Source organism: Homo sapiens, chromosome 6 (genome assembly GCF_000001405.40).
Source record: "Homo sapiens chromosome 6, GRCh38.p14 Primary Assembly".
Lineage (NCBI taxonomy): Eukaryota > Metazoa > Chordata > Mammalia > Primates > Hominidae > Homo > Homo sapiens.
In genome coordinates this window covers 29681794-29703614 of record NC_000006.12, presented here as the reverse complement: position 1 = coordinate 29703614, position 21821 = coordinate 29681794, and the positions used below count along the sequence as shown (strand labels likewise).

General features: G+C 44.9%; 1 annotated feature.

Annotated features, from left to right (window-relative positions):
• Window positions 277-391: a silencer, noted in NCBI's record as "fragment chr6:29671001-29671115 (GRCh37/hg19 assembly coordinates)". NCBI's record gives its function as "represses an EF-1alpha promoter that drives an FKBP-Casp9 reporter gene in an ReSE screen in phorbol 12-myristate 13-acetate-treated (for megakaryocytic differentiation) K562 erythroleukemia cells {active_cell/tissue: K562(+PMA)}" and the evidence as "EXISTENCE:reporter gene assay evidence [ECO:0000049][PMID:32094911]".

The following is a 21821-nucleotide window of genomic DNA, read 5'->3' as shown; positions in this document are numbered from 1 at the left end:
CCTGAGTAGCTGGGATTATAGGCACATGCCACCACGCCCGGCTAAATTTTGTATTTTTATTTTGATTTTTTTTGTAGAGATGGGGTTTCACCATGTTGGCCAGGCTGGTCTCAAACTCCTGACCTTGTGATTCGCCCACCTCAGCCTTCCAAAGTGCATCAGTAACATCTTTTACCTGGTCTTACAGGACCTTGCCTGTCTATTCTATTCGTGGTCACAAGACAGAAAAAGAAAAGGAGTGTGTGGAAAACAAGATAAGGAAACATGCTTCTGATCTGGGGCAGTGGGGAGACAGGGGCTGCGCCTCACTGCAGAGTCCATCCTGCTGAACACAGAGGGGCAAAAGCGCCCAGACAGCCATACCTGTGCTGATCAGAAGGGAGGGCTGCGCCTCGCGATCCTTCTACCTGTGTCTTTCAGGCTTTGCTGTCTAGGTCCAAGTTACTGCTATGAAAAGAGATTTGAGAATTCCCAGAGGGGCCTTTCAGCCTCTTTCCATGGCTCTTCCTGCCCTTTCGAAAGCACAGCCAGAGACATCAGAAATGAAATTGTACATAATTCTTTTGGACTTTGATGCAATCTTTGGAAAGAATTTTTGTAAATGCCAAGCTACATTTTGGCAACCCCATCAAGAGTCAGGTGTGCCCAGGGCAGTCAACCCAGGCCCTGGACTCTCATTCTAGTTGGATTCTATGACAGCTATTTTGCCATAAGAATTCTAGAGCCAGATCTTGCTACACCACAATTGCCTCACGTTGCAAGACAAACAAATCTAACCTGAGTCCTGTGGATTCCAGAGGTGCTCAGGAGGAACCTCCGTCTCAGCGTGGTTGACCTCAGGTTCAGCCCCGTCTGCCCATTCAGCCCGCAGCCCCGTCCCGGAGAGCACTCAGAATCCGAGAGCAGCGCAGCGGCGCCCCCGTGTGGCCACAGGGCCGAGGACAGAGACCCCGCTCCCCTTTCTCCCTAGCCAGGACCTCCCAGGCTCTCCTGTTCCCAGCACCTGGACAGGGCTCTGCATACAAGGGGGTTCCCGATCTCAAGTCAGGCTCTGAGTCCATCCAGCTTCCCAAAATCCATGTTGACACTGACGTTTCCTCCCACCACTGAGTGACTCTGGATTTTGGCTTTAGGGAAGAGATACCTCCAGGCCAAAACAGTGGGATCATATCTGGGGCTCATCCACCCCCAAACCATTGCTACCACATGACCTAGTCCCTCAGCCTCCAAAATGGGGCCTTGCCCTCCTGTCCCCTCCCTTGTTCCTGCTGCTGCTCCTGCAGGTGGAGGCTGCTCATCCCAGGAATCAGCCTGTGAGCTCCAAGCCTGGAGTCCGGGCCTGGGGCCTTGGTCCAGAGAGCAGAAGGGAGATGAAATGGATCATAAGAGAAGGGGGAGAGTGGAAGGAACCAGGGGGGAGAGAAAAACGAGAAGGGCCCTGTTAGAAGTTGTGTGTGCATGTGTGTGTGTGTGTGTAGATCAGGAGGGGGTTTCTAGGGACCTGGGGAAAGGAGAGCTAAGGGCAGGTGCTAAGGGGCCCAGCCCTGTTAATTCCAAGGTCCGGAATTAATTCCAGGATACTGCACTTCCTACAGTACCACTTTATGGCCATATCCAAGTCCAGCCCTGAGCAGCCTATGGTCACAGAAAATCGTGAGAATAATCAGAGAAAAATGACACGTTACATACATGAGAACAATTATGAGAATGACCAGTCCATGTGTTCATAATTTGTCATCAGAAACTATGGTGGTCAGAAGACAATGAAATGGCATTTTTTTGAGTGCTGTAAGAAAACAACCTAACTCAGAATTGCACATCCAGTAAAAATATTTTCAGGGAAGAAAAATGAAAAGGTGTCTCCAGATAAAATAAAACTAGGATAATTTGTTGCAAACATAACTCTACTGCAAGAAAAATACTGAAGGAGTTTCCCAGGTTGAAAGAAGTCATACCAGATGGTAACTTGAGTCTTCAGATAGGAGTGACCAACACTGGAAATGCCAAATATATGGTGGGAAGTTAAAGATGCTCTATTTTTTCTTAGTTTTTTTTTTATTAATTTTTTTTTGAGATGGAGTTTCGTTCTTGTTGCCCAGGCTGGAGTGCAATGGCACAATCTCCGCTCACTGCAACCTCTGCCTCCTGGGTTCAAGCGATTATCCTGCCTCAGCCTCCCGAGTAGCTGGGATTACAGGCATGCACCACCACGCCCAGCTAATTTTGTATTTTTAGTAGAGACGTGGTTTCTCCACGTTGGTTAGGCTGGTCTCGAACTCCCGACCTGAGGTGATCCACACGTCTTGGCCTCCCAAAGTGCTGGGATTACAGGCGTGAGCCACCGCGCCCAGCTTTTTCTTAGTTTTTTAAAAATACAAATGAACAACACTATCAACCGTCTTGATCTGACATTTACAGTCACTGTGTTCAACAGCTCCAGAATATATATTTTGTAAAGTGAATATGGTACATTCACTAACACAGGTCATATGTTGAGACATAAAACAAGTAACAACATATTTCAAAGGACTGAAATCATACAGAATATGTACTCTGACCAAAATAGATTTTATTGGAAATCAATAATAAGTTGTCTAGGGGCAAAAAAGTATTGAAAATTTTAAATCTTCCTTCTAAATAACCTACGGATCAAAGAAGAAAACATAAGGGAAGTTAGATAATATTTTCAACTGAATGATGATGAAAACATACCTTTCAAAATTATTAGATACTATTTCCAGTCTTTCTGCAAAGGACAGTGATCAAGAGAGTGTGGTATTGGCAAAAGGACAGACACATAGATCAACAGAACAGAATGGAGAGGCCAGAAATGGAAGGACAAAAATAGAGTCACTTGATTTTGAATACAAGTACAAAGGTCATCCAATGAAGAAGGGAATCTCCTTTCAATAATGATGCTGAAACAATTGGCATCCATCTACTTTGGGAGGCTGGGGCAGGTGGATCACTTGAGGTCAGGAGTTTGAGACTGGCTTGGCCAACATGGTGAAACCCTGCCTCTACTAAAGTTACAAAAATTAGCTGGTGTGGTGGCTCATGCCTGTAATCCCAGCTACTCGGGAGGCTGAGGTAGAAGAATCACTTGAACCTGGGAGGCAGAGGTTGCAGTGAGCAGAGATCACGCCATTGCACTCCAGCCTGGGCCACAGGGTAAGACTCAATCACAAAAAAAAAAAAAAAAAAAAAAAAAAAAAACTTGACAATACTTCACACCTATAAAAAAGTAACTCAAAATGTATCATAGACTTAAAAATAATATGCACAGCCATAAAACTTCTGGAAGAATATAAAGGAGAAAATCTTAACCTTGAGTTTGAGTTTTTAGATAAAACACCAAAAATACAATCCATGAAAGAGAAAACAAATCAATTAGACTTTATCATAATTAATAGTTTTTGCTTTACAAAAACACTGGTAAGTGAATGAAAAGAAGACAAGGCACAGACTGGAAGAAAATACTTGTCAAAAAACTGGAAGTTATAGATGTGACAAAGGACTTGTAAAGATAATATGTGAACAAAATTAAAACACAATAATTGGGGAAAAAAATCTTGATTTTAGAAGTGGGTGAAAGATCTCAACAGACACCACCAAAGAAGATATATGGGTGGTAAATAATACTTGAAAATATGCTTAAGATCATCTGTCATTAGGGAAATGCCAACAGGGTGCAGTGGCTCATGCCTTCAATGCCAACACTTTGGTAGGCTAAGGCAGAAGGATCACTTGAGCCCAGGAGCTCAAGACCAGCCTGGGTAACATGGCGAGACAATGTCTCAACAAACAAACAAACAAACAAACAAACATTAACCAGGTGTGGTGGCATGCGCCAGTGATTCCAGCCACTTGGGAGAGTGAGACGGGAGGATTGCTTGAACCTGGGAGGTGGAGGCTGAAGTGAGCTGTGATCGCACCACTTTACTCCAGCCTGGGCAACAGAGTGAGACTCTGTCTCAAAAAACAAAACAAAACAGAACACCAAAACAAAGTACTGCTACACTATTAGAGTAGCTAAAATTTTTTAAACTTACAATAAAAAATGCTGAAAATATACAGAGCAACAAGAATTCCCACTCACTGCTAATGGGAATGGAAAACGGTAAAGCCACTTTGAAAGACAGTTTAGAAGTTTCTTATAAAGTTAAGGAGAGACTTACCATCAATCATGCTCTTAGGTATTTACCCAAGTTAATTCAAGGTTGATATCCACACAAAAACCTGTACATGAATATTTATAGCAGCTTTACATATGTTCACTAAAAACTGTAAACAACCAAGATATCTTTCAGCCATGCAAGACTAAGCAAACTGTGGTATAACCATATGGATCATAAGAAATGAGCTATTGTCAGGCCAGATGAGGTGGCTTACACCTGTAATCCCAGCACTTTGGGAGGCTGAGGCAGGTGGATCACCTGAGGTCAGGAGTTTGAGACCAGCCTGGGCAACATGGCAAAACTCCGTCTCTAGTAAAAATACAAAAAGAAAAAATTAGCTAGGCGTGGTGGCGAGCAACTGTAGTCCCAGCTCCTCGGGAGGCTGAGGCAGGAGAATCACTTGAACCTGGGAGGCAGAGGTTGGAGTGAGCCAAGACTGCATCATTGCACTCTAGTCTGGGCAACAGAGCAAGGATCTGTCTAAAAAAAAAAAAAAAGCTGTTGCCCTGGTGCAGTGGCTCATTTTGGGAGGCCAAGGTGGAAGGATCGATTGTGGCCAGGGTTCAAGACCAGTCTGGGCAACATACCGAGATGCTGTCTATGTTTATTTAAAAAAAAAAACAAATTGGCCAGGCGCAGTGGCTCACACCTGTAATCCCAGCACTCTGGGAGGCCGAGGCATGTGGATCACCTGAGGTCAGGAGTTCGAGACAAGCCTGGCCAACATGAAGAAACCCCGTCTCTACTAAAAATACAAAATTAGCCGGGAGTGGTGGCGCATGCCTGTAATCCCAGCTACTCAGGAAGCTGAAGCAGAAGAATCATTTGAACCTGGGAGGCAGAGGTTGCAGCGAGCTAATATCGCGCCATTGCACTCCAGCCTGGGCAACAAGGGCAAAACTCTGTCTCAAAAAAAAAAAAAAAAAATATATATATATATATATGTAAATAAGCTATTAATCCATACATCAATTAATCTTAAATGCGTTTTACCAGGTGAAAAAAATGTCAGACACAAAAGGCTTCATTTTATCTGACTCAATTCATATACCATTCTGGAAAAAGCAGATCTATGGGGACAGAAAACAGGTTAATGGTTATCAAAGGTTGGAGGGAGAAGGGATAAAGAACATTCAAAGGGAAATTTTTAGGATGAAGGAACTGTTGTAGATGGTACTAGGGTAGTGGATATATGATTCTATACATTTTTCAAAATCCAGGCTGGGTGTGGTTGCTCATGCCTGTAATCCCAGCACTTTGGGAGGCCGAGGCGGGTGGATCACCTGAGGTCAGGGGTTCAAGACCAGCCTGGCCAACATGGTGAAACCCCGCCTCTACCAAAAATACAAAAATTAGCCGGGACTGTTGATGGACGCCTGTAATCCCAGCTACTCGGGAGGTTGAGGCAGGAGATGGAGGTTGCAGTGAGCCCAGATAGCACCATTGCACTCCAGCCTGGGCCACAAGAGTGAGACTTCATCTCAAAAAAAAAAAAAAAAAAAAGTCATTGTTGTAAAAAGGGCACAGGCTTTGCTACAGATTTTTCTACCAGTGAAAAGATGTATACACTTGCCTGGCCTCATCATTCAGACCAATTCATAAAATAACAAATGCATGGAAAAAAAAACTTAAAAACACAATCATCATGTGACTGACTTCCAAATTAGATTCTCCTTCAAATCAGAGAGTATTGCTTGTTAATAGTGTTTATAAATTTTAATTCCTGATTGCTGAGACAATATGTACATAAAATATTTAGCCAAAGAGTTCAAAATGAAATTACCCAAATTACCTATTTGTTATTTTATACATAGTAATTATTTTTTAAAAATCATTTGGCTGGGTGCGGTGGTTCATGCCTGTAATCCCAGCATTTTGGGAGGCCAAGGCGGGCGGATCATGAGGTCGGGAGTTCGAGACCAGCCTGACCAACATGGTGAAACACTGTTTCTACTAAAACAACAAAAATTAGCCGAGCATGGTGTTGCGCGCCTGTAATCCCACCTACTTGGGAGGCTGAGGCAGGAGAATCGCTTGAACCCAGGAGGCAGAGGTTGCGGTGAGCCGAGATCACACCATTGCACTCCAGCCTGGGCAACAAGAGCAAAACTCCATCTCAAAAAAATTTTTTTAAAAAGCATAAATTAAAAAATAAAATAAAACTTTTAAGATGTTAAGCCCCTGAAGCTCCAACTACAAAGTAGGGTAAAAGGCTGCCTAAAGCAGTGAAGATCAAGGAGTGACCTTGGAGGCAGCAGAGGGAGACTGTATTAGTCCATTTGCGTTGTTGTAAAGGAATACCTGGGTTTAAGTAATTTATAAAGAAAAGAGATTTATTTGGCTCACAGTTCTGCAGGCTGTACAATCATGGGGCCAGCTCCACTAGGATTCTGGTGAAGTCTCAGGAAGCTTTTACTTGTGGCAGAAGGCAAAGGAAGAGCAGGTGTGTCACATGGAGAGAGAAAGAGCAAGAGAGCTGCTAGGCTCTTTTAAATAATCAGCTCTCGTGTGAACGAATAGAGTGAAAGCTCACTCATTACCATGGGCAGGGTACTAAGCCACTCAAGAGAGAACCGGTCCCATGACCCAAACGCCTCCCACTAGGCCCCAGCTCCAACACTGGGGATCTTTCAACATGAGATTTGGAGGGGACAAACACCCAAACCTTATCAGAGATGATCCCAGCCACAGGTCTCAGAGAACCAGCAGAGGGCACTCCTCCAGGGCCCAGCCTGAGTGTGGAAATAGCTGTCAGAATCACATCAGAATGTTTCAGAACTCATGGGGAAAAGCTGAGACAGAAAAAAAGAAGAAAGTAAGAAGCTGGCAGAAATCAGCTAGGAACCTTGAGAGACTTGGTATTTCATTGAAAGGTAAGATAGGAGTGTTTTGACTCCCGTCGTCCCTAAGGAAGACCACCAGTATCTGAACTGTCGGAGAGCTCCTCTGCCCTCACAAAGCCAAACACTGATGTGCATGGCGATTTGGGAACTTCTGGAGGGCATCACACCAGACAACCAACTTGCGCTGGGTCACTTGTCCCTCCTCCAGACTCGGGCAGTGTTGGCAGGGTGCCATATTAGGAGTGTAGCCATCAGGGGACTGTGTCCTTCCCAGGGAACCCCAACCTTTGTATATTCACATCACAGAAGCTCCTGCAGCCATGCCCCCAGTGCCCACTTGGATTGTGGCAGCCACACAGGGCTGGCTGGACCCAGTGGAGCTGCAGGGTTCCCAGTGGTCTAGCCATCAGGGATTGCTGCTCCTAAGGAAAGGGAGACTGCAGTACACAAAAAAAGTACCAGTTGGGACAAAGGAGGCCAGACCATGTACTCATCTGTGTCCAAGAGCTCCTTGTTTGTGGGCTGAGTGACTGCACCACTTCCAGCAGAGTCGTGGACACTGTGTTCAGCTCTGCGCTGAAGGAGTGTAGTTCCATCCCAGCAGCCAAGCAGCCCCAGTGCTTAGAATCAGGCATGGAAAGGGGAAATTCTCCTGCCCTTCCCCCATCCACCACTGCTTCAAACACAGCATGGCCACTCCCATGGGAAATTGGCACGTGTGCCAGAGAAGAGCCTTTCTAGGGCTATCAGGGGTGACTGTGTTTCCACTGGCAGTGTGGCCATTTGGGCCAGGCTTGTGTGAAAGACAGGGCCCTTTCCCCTCTCTACAGGGAGTGCTAGCATTCCTGCAGTGGAGAGCAGGAAAGCTGAAAAGCTATGTGCAGGCCAGGCGCGGTGGCTCACGCCTGTAATCCCAGCACTTTGGGAGGCCGAGGTGGGCGGATCATCTGAGGTCAGGAGTTCGAGACCAGCCTGACCAACATGGAGAAACCCTGTCTCTACTAAAACTACAAAAACAATTAGCCAGGCGTGGTGGCGCATGCCTGTAATCCCAGGTACTCGAGAGGCTGAGGCAGGAGAATTGCTTGAACCTGGGAGGTGGAGGTTGCGGTGAGCTGAGATCACGCCATTGCACTCCAGCCTGGGCAACAAGAGCAAAACTCCATCTCAAAAAAAAAAAGAAAAAGAAAAGCTATGTGTTTGGGGTTGAGGGAGGATGCTCTGCACCAAAGACATTTAAATGGTGAGCTGAGGAGAAGACATCTTTAATGAGTCTCAACTACATTGCAGTTGGAGATAGAGAGTAGTGTCTGGTCAATTTGAGTTTCCCCGATGCCAGGACTAGGGAATGACAGGGAAATGGATGGCATTCCTGCCTGGCCAGGTCATGAAGCTGGGGCAGCCCTCTCCTCATCTGTGGAGACCTAGGCACGTTTCACCAGAAGTTTCCCATGCCATCACTCCTGCCTGAAAGCTGCTGCCTGTGCTCACCATTGTGGGGCAGGCTTGGGGATCCAGCTCTACTCAGCTATGTCCCCCTCTCTGGTGCTGAGCAGGGAGCCCAGGCTGCTGTACATTCCACTTACCAGCACATTTCCTGAGGCAACAGAGAACTTTTCTAGGTATACAATGATGAAGCATATACTCACGTGCTTCTGCCACATAGGCTTTTAGGCATAAGCCCACCTACTGTTCTGGAGGCTGAACCACGCACCTCAATACAAATCAGTTGACAAAAGGGCACATGAGTGGAAATAAACTTCTCATCTCTTCCAAAAGAGGAAATGAGATAAACTTCTTAAACCTCTGCCATCCTGGCCCTGCAGGAGGCTGTGAGCCTGTTCACACTCCCAGTACATCACCACCACAACTGGCATTTGAGAAAGCCACCATACAAAGGCTATCTATAACCAGGGGACAACTACAGCGTCTTTGCCACTGAAAGCATTCACAACCAAATGCAAAGGACCTTAAACAACATACATTATAGTCACATAGTAAAGGGAAAAAAAAATCCTGCCCAAATGAAATAAATTCAAAAATAAGAAGAGAAAGTTTCTACAGATGAGAAGGAACCAAAGAAATGATTCTGGAACTCTCTATGTTTTCTATTTTTTAAGTAAGTCCTTTGTTTCTCTGTTGAAAACAGTAGAATGTTTTGAAAACATACTCTGAAAAAAGAGTGTTATGACATCCCCAAAACATTACACTAACTTTCTAGCAATAGATCCTAACAAAAATAAAATCTTTGAAATACCAAATAAATAATTCAAAATAATGATTATAAAGAAGCTCAATGAAATCCAAGAGAAAGTTGAAAACAACACAAAGAAATGTAAAAAATCAATTCAGCATATGAATAAAAAATTTACCAAGAGATAAATATTTTTAAAAAAGTAAACCACCTGGGCTGGGCGCGGTGGCTCATGCCTGTAATCCCAGCATTTTGGGAGGCTGAGGCGGGCAGATCACGAGGTCAGGAGATCTAGACCATCCTGGCTAACACAGTGAAACCTCGTCTCTACTCAAAATACAAAAAATTAGCCGGGCCTGGTTGCAGGCGCCTGTAGTCCCAGCTACTCAGGAGGCTGAGGCAGGAGAATGGTCTGAACCCGGGAGGCAGAGCTTGCAGTGAGCCGAGATTGCGCCACTGCACTCCAGCCTGGGCGACAGAGCGAGACTCCTTCTCAAAAGAAAAAAAAAAAAAAAATTAAACCACCTGGAAATAAAAAATTCATCAAAGTAGTTCCAAATGCAGCTGAAAGCTTTAACAATAGACTAGACCAAGCAGAAGAAAGAATTTCAGAGCTTGAAGACAGGTCTTTCAAATTAACCCAGTCAGACAAAAAGAAAGAAAAGAGAATTAAAATATGAACAAAGCCTTCAGGAAGTATGGGGTTATGTAAAACATCTGTACCCATGAATCATAGGTATTCCTAAGGGAGAATGAAGGGTAAAAAGTGTGGAAAATCTACTTGAGGAAATAATTGAGGAAAACTTCCCTAACCCTGGCTACAGATTTAAAATCCAGATAGAAGATACTTAGAGAACTCCTGGAAAATACATTGCAAGATGGACTTCACCAAGACAAATAGTCATCAGACAATCTAAACTCAATGTAAAGGAAAAAAAATCTTAAAATGAGCAAGAGAAGAGAAAAAGTGTCCTAAAAACCTATATAGGAAATTCCATCAGTCTAACAGTGGATTTTTCAGGCCGGGCACGGTGGGTCACGCCTGTAATCCCAGTACTTTGGGAGGCTAAGGTGGGTGGATCACGAGGTCAGGAGATCGATACTGTCCTGGGTAACACAGTGAAACCCCGTCTCTACTAAAAATACAAAAAATTAGCCGGGCGTGGTTGCAGGCGCCTGTAGTCCCAGCTACTCCCGAAGCTGAGGCAGGAAGGAGAATGGCGAGAACCCGGGAGGTGGAGCTTGCAGTGAGCCGAGATCGCGCCACTGCACGCCAGCCTGGACAACGGAGCGAGACTCCGTCTCAAAAAAAAAAAAAAAAAAAAAAAAGCACTGTGAAAATCCCTATCCTGTTTGTTCCGATCTAATTACTGGGACATGCAGCCCCTAGTCACATAACCCCTGCTTGCTCAATCGATCACGGCCCTCTCAAGCGCACCCCCTTAGAGTTGTGATCCCTTAAAAGGGACAGAAATTGCTCACTGGGGGAGCTCGGCTCCTGACACAGGAGTCTTGCCGATGCCCCCGGCCGAATAAACCCATTCCTTCTTTAACTCGGTGTCTGAGGAGTTTTGTCTGCGGCTCGTCCTGCTACAATATGGCGCCATTGCACTCTAGCCTGGGCAACAAGAGCCAGACTCCTTCTCAAAAAAAAAAAAAAAAAAAAAAAAAAAAAAAAAAAAAAAAAAAATTGCGGCCGGGCGCGGTGACTCACACCTGTAATCCTAGCTCTTTGGGAGGCTGAGGTGGGCGGATCACGAGATCAGGAGTTAGAGACCAGCCTGGCCAGTATGGAGAAACTCCACCTCTATTAAAAATACAAAAATTAGCTGGGCATGGTGGCACGCACCTGTAGTCCCAGCTGCTCAGGAGGCTGAGGCAGGAGAATCGCTTCAACCTGGGAGGCGGAGCTTGCAGTGAGCCGAGATCGTGCCACTGCACTCCAGCCTGGCTGACAGAGCGAGATTCTGTCTCAAAAAAAAAAAAAGAAAAGAAAAGAAAAAAAGAAAAACAAGCAAAGAGTGGTGATGAAATTTGAAAGAAGGGACTAGGCCGGGCGAGGTGGCTCACGACTAATCCCAGCGCTTTGGGAGGCTGAGACAGGCAGATCACCTGAGATCAGGAATTCAAGACCAGCCTGGCCAACGTGGTGAAAACCTGCCTCTATTAAAAATACAAAATTAGCCGGGTATGGTGGTGCGTGCCTATAAATCCCAGCTACTTGGGAGGCTGAGGCAGGAGAATCGCTTGAACCCAGGAGGCAGAGGTTGCAGTGAGCCCAGATCGCGCCATTGCACTCCAGCCTGGGCGACAAGAGTGAAATTCCCTCTCAAAAAAAACAAAAAAGTAAAGGAAAAGAAAAGAAAAGAAATAGCATATAGTAGCATATAAATTCCCAAACATTAAACAATTGCCTTTGTTCATATAAACAATAAAAAGTTAAAATTTTTGTGAGGCGATAACCTCATATATAATAGAAACAAAAAGGTTTTTAATGAAAAAATTACTAAGAAGTGTGCAAACTTTAAATGAAAACATTAAAACACATCTGAAATTTAAAAATTAGATATGAACAAATCGGGCCGGGTGCGGTGTCTCACGCCTGTAATCTCAGCACTTTGGCAGGCTGAGGTTGGAGGATCACCTGAGATCAGGAGTTTGAGACCAGCCTGGCCAAGTGGTGAAACCCTGCTTCTACTAAAAATACAAAAATTAGCCGGGTGTGGTGGTGTGAGCCTATAATCCCAACTACCTGGGAGGCTGAGGCAGGAGAATGGCTTGAACCTGGGAAGTGGAGGTTGTGGTGAGCCGAGGTCACACCACTGCACTCCAGCCTGGGTGACAGAATGAGAGTCCATTTCAAAAAAAAAAAAAAAAAAAAAATGAAGAACTTTTTTTTTTCTTTTCCGTAAGTTCTTGGGGTACAGGTGGTATTCGGTTACACGAGTAAGTTCTTTAGTGGTGATTTGTGAGATTTCGATGCACTTATCACCCGAGCAGTATACACTGCACCTTGTAGTCTTCTGTCCCTTGCCCCCTCCTATTCTTCCTCTCAAGTCCCCAAAGTCCATTGCATCATTCATATGCCTTTGTGTCTTCATAACTCAGCTTCTACATATCAGTGAGAACATACAATGTTTGGTTTCCCATTCCTGAGTTATTTCACTTAGAATAACAGTCTCCAATCTCATCCAGGTCACTGAAAATGCTGTTAATTCATTCCTTTTTATGGCTGTGTAGTACAGAAGAACATTCTCAAATAGGAAGACTATACAGCACATTTGCAGAGTAAATTTTCAAATGTAATACCTCCTAATCAAAATGCCAACAACTACTTTTTTTCTCAAGCTAGACAAGTAGATTATAAAGTTCACATGAGAAAATAAATAAGAATAATTAGAAAATCCCTTGGGGGAAAAAAACAAATTGAGAATTGGGTGTCTAGTTATGCCTAATAGTTAAATATTTTACAAATTCCCTGTCACTAGAACAGTGTGGCACTGGTGAATGAATAGACCAACCAATGGAACAGCACAGGAAGTCCAGAAACAGCCAAGTGCATAGCAACCTAGTCCTCATTTAATGACTTTAATTCATTCCTGGGCATTGTGCCACTAAATAAAAAGTATTAAACCAGGCTGGGTGCGGTGGCTCACGCCTGTAATCCCAGGAAATTGGGAGGCCAAGGCCGGCGGATCACCTGAGGTTGGGAGTTTGAGACCAGCCTGACCAACATGGAGAAACCCCCTCTCTACTGAAAATACAAATTAGGCAGGCGTGGTGGTGCATGCCTGTAATCCCAGCTACTCGGAAGGCTGAGGCAGGAGAATCGCTTGACTTGAACCCAGGAGGCAGAGGTTGTGGTGGGCCAAGATCGGGCCATTGCACTCCAGCCTGGGCAACAAGAGCGAAACTCTGTCTTAAAAAGGCCGGGCGCGGTGGCTCACGCCTATCATCCCAGCACTTTGGGAGGCCGAGGTGGGCGGATCACTAGGTCAGGAGATCGAGACCATCCTGGCTAACGAGGTGAAACCTCGTCTCTACTAAAAATACAAAAAAATTAGCCGGGCGTGGTGGCGGGCACCTGTAGTCCCAGCTACTCTGGAGGCTGAGGCAGACGAATGGCGTGAACCCGGGAGGTGGAGCTTGCAGTGAGCCGAGATCCCGCCACTGCACTCCAGCCTGGGCGACAGAGAGAGACTCTGCCTCAAAGTGGAGAAAATGGTACAGAGGCCGGGCGCGGTGGCTCACGCCTGTAATCCTAGCACTTTGGGAAGCCGAGGAGGGCGGATCACGAGGTCAGGAGATCGAGACCATCCTGGCTAACAGGTGAAACTCAGTCTCTACTAAAAATACAAAGAATTAGCCCGGCACGGTGGCGGGCGCCTGTAGTCCCAGCTACTCGGGAGGCTGAGGCAGGAGAATGGCGTGAACCCGGGAGGCGGAGCTTGCAGTGAGCAGAGACAGCGCAACTGCACTTAAAGGGCGAGACTCCGTCTCAAAAAAGAAAGAAAGAAAGAAAGAAAGAAAGTGATACAGAAGTGAAAGAGATGTTTACCTATTGAGCAAAAGGTGTGAGGGTGTGTGTGTGTGATAAATGATACTAGAAAAAAAGAGAGCAAATGAATGATATTGTATTCTCTTCATAGTTAAGGTGTTCTGCTGTTTATTTTTTGTGGGGGGAGGGGGGCGCGGGGCGGACAGAGTCTCACTCTGTCGCCCAGGCTGGAGTGTAATGGCGCGATCTCGGCTCACTGCAAACTTCTGCCTCCCTGGTTCACGGGATTCTCCTGCCTCAGCCTCCTGAGTAGCTGGGATTACAGGCACGTGCCACCACGCCCGGCCAATTTTTGTATTTTTAGTAGAGATGGGGTTTCACCATTTTTGTCAGGCTGGTGTTTATATGATATTAATAAACAATGAAAGATAAAGAAAAGATCTGAATCATTTGCATTTTCAGGAAAATTGTTACACATCAGAAAATCTGTCAGGAAATATTTGAGACTCCATCACAATCATTGCCCCTTAAACACACCCATCAAGACGACTGTTCTTCCTCCTTTAGAGAGTAAAATGAACCTTCAGTACATTGAGTTTTGTGGAATTCTTACCTATTTACTCTGAAGTTTCTATTTACTACTTACATACCTTTGTTTTCATTGCTCTATTGATATATCTACCTGCAAAGTTTTCTGTGAGTCCTCTATTGTTATAGAATGCACCATAATTTTTTCCATTAGGAAAATTAAATTTTGTTTACTCTTTTTTTTTTTTCTTTGAGACAGAGTTTCACTCTTGTTGCCCAGGCTGGAGTGCAATGGCATGATCTTGGCTCACTGCAACTTCCACCTCCCGGGTTCAAGCAATTCTCCTGCCTCAGCCTCCTGAATAACTGGGATTACAGGCATGTGCCATCACACCTGGCTAATTTTCTATTTTTAGTAGAGACAGGGTTTATCCATGTTGGTGAGGCTGGTCTCAAACTCCCAACCTCAGGCAAAAAAAAAAAAGTTCTCAATGTGGTGGTGGTGTTGGAGGTGGGGCTTAGTGGGAGGCGTTTGGGTCATCAGGAGCAGATCCTTCATGAATAGATTAATGTCCTCCCACATGAGCGAGTAATTTATTACTCTGTTGGGGCTAGGTTAGTTACCAAAAAGCAGGTTGTTATAAAAGCAAGTTTGGTTTCCTAGACTCTCTCTTGCTTCCCTGTCTCCCCATGTGATGTTTTTGCACATGCCACTCACTTTTCCCCTTCTCCAAAATGTTTTGACCTAACATTTGGCCTTCACCAGAAGTTTGCCAGATCCAGCACTATCCTGTTGAACTTCCCAGCCTGCAAAATCATGAGCTAAATAAACATCTTCTCTTTATAAACTACCCAGTTTCAAGTTATTCTGTTATAGTAATACTCAACATACTAAGACAGTCATTGAAAACAAAGTCAACCTGGAGGAGCCTTAAGGAGACATGATTAGGACTAAATACAATGTGATATCCTCGATGAAATCCTGTGACAGAAAAAGGAAGTTAAAAGAACTAATGAAACCTGGCTGGGCATGGTGGCTCACACCTGTAATCCTAGCACTTTGGGAGGCCAAGGCGGGTGGATCACTTTAGGTCAGGAGTAAGAGACCAGCCTGACCAACATGGTGAAATCCTGTCTCTACTAAAAATACAGAAATCAGCCAGGCACGGTGGCATGTGTCTGTAGTCACAGCTATTCAGGAGGCTGAGGCATGAAAATCATTTGAACTCGGGAGGTGGAGGTTGCAGTGAGTGGACATCATGCCATTGCACTCCGGCCTGGGTGACAGAGCAAGACTTTGTTTCAAAACAGAAAGAGCTAATGAAATCGAAATAAAGTTTAGTGATACTATATTAATATTGTCTCACTGGTTGTGAAAAATGTATAATAGTGATATAAGATGTTAACAATGGGGCTGGGGGCAGTGGCACACACCTGTAATGCCAGCACTTTGGGAAGCTGAGCGGGTAGATCACCTGAGGTCAGGAGTTCGAGACCAGCCTGGCCAATGTGGTGGAACCCTGTCTTTACTAAAACTACAAAAACTAGCTGGGCATGGTGGCGCGCACCTGTAATCCTAGCTACTCAGGAGGCTGAGGCAGGAGAATGGCTTGAAACCCGGAGGCAGAGGTTGCAGTGAGCCGAAATCGTGCCACTGCACTTCAGCCTGGGCGACAGAGTGAGACTCCCTCAAAAAAAAAAAAAATATGTTAACAATGGGGAGCTGAGTGTGACATATGTGAGAACTATGTATTATCTTTTCAACTTTTGTGTAATCTAAAAGTATTCTAAAATTAATAAGTTTATTAAAAAAAAACAACAACAACAACCCTCAGAAGAGGAAAGGAATAGGGAGTTAAAGAAAAAACAGTATACTTTTTAGTTTTCCCAGGGTTTCCTATCAAGGGGCTGGGAAGAGGGAGAAAAGATTGGAACCTCAGAGACAGTGCGGGGCTCCAGAGTTCTCTTGTCCTCTGACTACTGGGGCTGCTCAGAAATTGTCTTCATCCCCCTATTGATGTCAGGTTCCAGGGTCAGCCACCTCTGCCCAACTCAGACCACAGACATCCCAGCCTTTTCTGATTGCTCAATTTGTGTCTGAGACACCAGAGAGGTGCCACCCCCAAGTGGCCATAGACCTGAGGACAGACGACCTGAGCCCCCTTTTCTTCTCGCTGTGGACCTCCCCTGCGTCTCCTTGGGCTCCCAGAAGTCAGACAGGGTTCTTCATGCAAGGGCAAGTGTTTTAGTCTTTTTGGGATGCTATTAAAAATTATATATTATAGACTGGGAAACACTGCCCTAGCCAAGTGATGGAGGTTAACATAATCATTTGATACATCAACTGGGTAATATACACTCTTGGTATGTTGTATTGAGAGTATTGCATTTCATCTCTGTGCTCTTCTTCCCCCAAACCTATAGCCCTGTCAACCACACTCAAATTAAGGGACATTTTACAATATGCCTCACTAGTACTCCTCAAGAAATACCAAATTATCAAAAACGAGGTCTGAGAAATTGTCACAGACCAGAGGAGGCTAAGGAGATATAAAGGGGACTAAATGTAATGTATCCTGGATGGGATCCTGGAACATAAAAGTGATGTTAGGGAAAAGAATAAAATCCAAATAAAATAGGAGTTAGTAACAATGTATCAATATTGTTTCATAACCTGTCACAAATGTATAATAAAATAAGACATTAATAATAGAGGAAACTGAATGTGGAACATAGGAGAACTATGTACTATCTTTGCAACTTTTCTGTAAATCCAAAAATATTGTAGATTTGATTTGATTTGATTTGATTTGATTTTTGAGACGGAGTTTTGCTCTTGTTGCCCAGGCTGGAGTGCAATGGCGCGATCTTGGCTCACCGCAACCTCCACCTCCCAGGCTCAAGAGATTCTCCTGCCTCAGCCTCCTGAGTAGCTGGGATTACAGGAATGCACCACCATGCCCGGCTAATTTTGTATTTTTAGTAGAGAGAGGATTTCTCCATATTGGTCAGGCTGGTCTCAAACCCCCCACCTCAGGTAATCCATCTGCCTCGGCCTCCCAAAGTGCTGGGATTACAAGTGTGAGCCACCGTGCCTGGCCAATATTTTAGATTTTAAAAGGATATTTTTATAACTAGTGCTCAGGAAAGAAAAAGAAAGTGGAAGTAAAAATTATCTACTTTTCGGGCGGCTTACCTTCACTCCCTCATTGACAGCCAGCCTCCACACCAGCCATATCTGTCCAGTTTAGACTGCAGCCCAGTCCTCTCCCAGGCTGCTCAATCAGAATCCAAGAGAGCAGAACATCGGCACTTGTGTGTGGTCAGCGGGCTGAGAACAGAAGACCGGACTCTTTTGGCCTCCTCCTCAGGTTGAGACCTCCCCATTGTCACCTTTGGCTTTCAGCAACTGGACAGGACAACGTACCCAAGGGGGCGCCCCAGTCCCGTGTTAGGCTCGGAATCTGAAGTGTTTCCCAAATCCACGCTGACATAGATGTTTCCTCTCCACCTAGTGACCGTGGATTCTGACCTCGGGACAGAGCGAGGTTTCCAGGCCAAAACAAGTGGTTCCCAGGTTACAAGTGGACCCCACAAACATACTGTCACTTCTGCTGCTGCTTCCAGGGATAAATGTGGCTTATCCTGGGGACCAACCCCTACTCTCCATCCCTAGGATGGGGGAGAGGAAGGGAAATTCTCAGGGCATTGGCCTAGGGAGTTGGAGAAGCTGCTGGTGAAGTGAAAACAGGAGCAGAATAGGGACATTAGAGATAAAGGGGCATAGAAAGGAATCAGCTCTGATGACACCTGTGTAGGATAAATGGGTTCTGCTTGGGGAGAGGCTCACAGGTTTCTAACTGGGATGGTGTTTTTAACATGGATGATAATTATAGCTGTGTCAGTTTTACAAGCGATCAGAAAACTACACTTAAATTTTAGGCAATTTTTGTGCTTACAGAGATAGTATAATGCGCTTACACACGAAGAAAGGGAAGAAGACAAGGGGAGAAGAAGTGATTATAGGAATTAGGTTCCTGTTTCCTTGCTAGCTGTCAACCAAGGGTTGCTCTCAGCTTCTGGAAGTTACCTGCATTCTTTTGCTCATGGCCACCTCCATCTTGAAACACAGCCATGGTACACTGAATACTTCTTTTGCTTTGAATCTTCCCAACTTCTCTTTGATCTTTGTTTTTTCTGCCCCTTAAGGAGTTCATGTGGTTAGATCAGGCCCAACCAGATAACCTGTTTTATGGTCAATTGTCTTGGGACTTCAATTACAACAGCATAATCCCTACATAGTGGTGCAGATGGTCCCTGATTTACGATGGCTCAACTTACAGTTTTTCAACTTTATGATGATGTGAAAGCAACACACATTCAGTATAAACTGTACTTTGAATTTTGATATTTTCCTGGGTTAGAGAGTATGATACTCTGTGACGGTGCTGGACAGCAGTAGTGAGCTGCAGCTCCCATCAGCCACACAATTATGATGGTAACAACTGATACTGTACTCTATACTGTACTGTATGCAACCAGTTACATGAGATAGTCAACACTTTATCATACAAGGGGATTTGTGTTAAGTGATTTTGCCCAACTGTAGGCAAATGTGTTCTGAGCACATTTAAGGTAGGCTAGGCTGAGCTAATATATTCAGTAGGTTAGGTGCATTAAATACATTTTCCACTTGAAAATATTTTTCAGTTACAATGGTTTTATTGAAACATAACCCCATTTTAAATTGAAGAGCATCTGTACTTTGATTAGTATTTGACTGAATAACCAGGGGAAGCAATCTTGAGGGGGAAAGCATCTTTAGAATTCTGCCTATCACAGTACCTTGGGGGACTACTGCAAATGAATGTATCCCATTAGAACTTCTCTACACCTCTAATCACCTTTTGTCTTAAAGTGGCTGAGGTGAGATAAAGGGATCTAAAGGGATTGGGAGCATGGAGGGAGAAACAAGTTCTGTTCCATTAAAGTCACGCATTTACTTTCAGTTTCTTTCTGCATGGCAAGCTTTCAGTGTTCTCAGCCCACCCAATACTTTATATTGGGCAGAAACATCCTGATGGCTGATGCCATCAGTTTTGGCCTTGGATCTAGCACCCACAGCCATAGGCTCTGGCTGAGTCCATGGGGTTTGCACCTTCAGGCTGACTTGAGCTTGACTTGCACAGGGGTAACCTTGAATGAGGAGGATTCCATCCATTACCAAGTTAACATTTTTAAAGTTCTCATCAGGTTTCAACATAAGGGCTAGGGGAATTTTTCAGAGGAACAGGGCTGACTGCAAGCATTTATTTACATTTCTTTAGGTCAGTTTGTTTTTCATCAATGGATCGCCTTCGTCAGTACGGTAACACCAACCCAGAGTACTAAGAGGCTGAATATGCACTTGATTTCCCATAGTACTTTGTCTCAGGGAAATCTTACCTAGAGGACCAAATCTTCCTGATGGCAGTCAGGGCTCACTGCGATGAAAATATGAGACCTTTTACTGTTGCCTACAAATGGATCTAAGGTTGGGCTCGCAGACTGCAGAAGGTGCTGATCTGTAAGGCAGCACAGTTGTTGCCATTCTTTCTTAACAAGCATTGACATGCTACCTCCTTATACCCTCAAGGTCTCAACTCCCAGATGATCCAGCTAAAGTGTAATGATTTGTTTGGCTCTGCCAATAGCTATTGTTAATTTCCCTCCTTTCACATTCACTGTGCGTCTCTGTAATTTTCTGCGGAAAAATTGCAGATACTAGGATGAAATAACTTTTGTCAGACCCAGATAAAATAGGGCCAGGCCAGGCACGGTGGCTTACGCTTGTAATCCCAGCACTTTGGGAGGCCGAGGCGAGCGGATCACCTGAGGTCAGGAGTTCGAGACCAGCCTGGCCTACATAGTGAAACCCCCATCTCTACTAAAAGTACAAAAATTAGTCGGACGTGCTGGCATGTGGTTGTAATCCCAGCTACTGGGGAGGCTGAGGCACGAGAATTGCTTGAACCTGGGAGGTGGAGGTTGCAGTGAGCCAAGATCACACCATTGCACGCTAGCCTAGGTGAAGAAGCGAGACTCTGTCTCAAAAAAAAAAAAAAAAAAAAAAAAGGCCAGGAAGGCATGAAGGAGAGGAACGTCATGCTTACATGTTTGAAGTAAGAATTGTTAAGTTGGGCGTGGTAGCTCATGCCTGTAATCCCAGCACTTTGGGAGGCCGAGGTGGGTGGATCACCTGAGGTTGGGAGTTCGAGAACAGCCTGACCAACATGGAGAAACCCCATCTCTACTAAAAATACAAAATTAGCCAAGCATGGTGGTGCATGCCTGTAATCCCAGCTACTAGGGAGGCTGAGGCAGGAGAATCGCTTGAACCCGGGAGGCGGAGGTTGCGGTGAGCCGAGATCATGCCATTGCACTCTAGCCTGGGCAACAAGAGCAAAACTCTGTATCGAAAAAAAAAAAAAAGGAAAAGAAAAGAATTGTTTCAAAGGACTTTTTAAAAACTCCACAAGAAATCTTTTCTAGGGAGTGGGGAGGGATAGCATTAGGAGATATATCTAATGTTAAATGATGAGTTATGGGTGCAGCACACCAACATGGCACATGTATACATATGTAACTAACCGGCATGTTGTGCATATGTACCCTAAAACTTACAGTATAATTAAAAAAAAAAAAGAAAAAAGAAAGAAATCTTTTCTAGCCGGGCGCGGTGGCTCACGCCTGTAATCCCAGCACTTTGGGAGGCTGAGGCAGGCAGATCATGAGGTCAGGAGTTTGAGACCAGCCTGACCAACATGGTGAAACCCTGTGTGTACTAAAAAAAAAAAAAAAAAAAAAAAAATTAACCGGGTATGGTGGCACGCACCTGTAATCCCAGCTACTCAGGAGTTGGAGGTTGCAGTGAGCTGAGATGGCGCCACTGCACTCCAGCCGGGGCAACAGAGCGAGACTCTGTCTCAAAAAAATAAAAATAAAAAAATAAAAGAAATCTTTTCTTCATCCTTCATGAATGTCCTGTCACAAGGTTTATCAGCAGGCATTCTTTTTTTTTGTTCTGTTTAGAAATAGGGCCTCACTCCATTGCCAAGGCTGGAATGCAGTGGTGCAATCATAGCTCACTGTAACCTCAAACTCCTGAGCTCAAGCAATCCTCCCACCTCAACCTCCTAAGCACCTAGGACTAAAGGCATGTACCACAACACCTGGCCAAGTTGTTTTCATTTTTTCTAGAGAAAGGGTCTTGCTATGTTGCCCAGGTTGGTCTTGAACTCCTGGCCTCCAGCAATCCTCCCTCCTCAGCTTCCCAAAGTGTTAGCATTCCAGGAGTGAGCCACGGGGGCCCAGCCTAGACATTCTTTAGTACTATAGTAATTCAGATAAGATGCTCTTGAAAGAACACTTGCCCAGTAACGGCAATGTCTCCCAAGTAGCTGGGATTACAGGTGTGCGTCACCACCACCGGCTAACTTTTGTATTTTTAATAGGGACAAGGTTTCGCCATATTGGCCACGCTGAGGTCGAACTTCTGACCTCAGGTGATCCGCCCCCTCAGCCTCCCAAAGTGCTGGGAT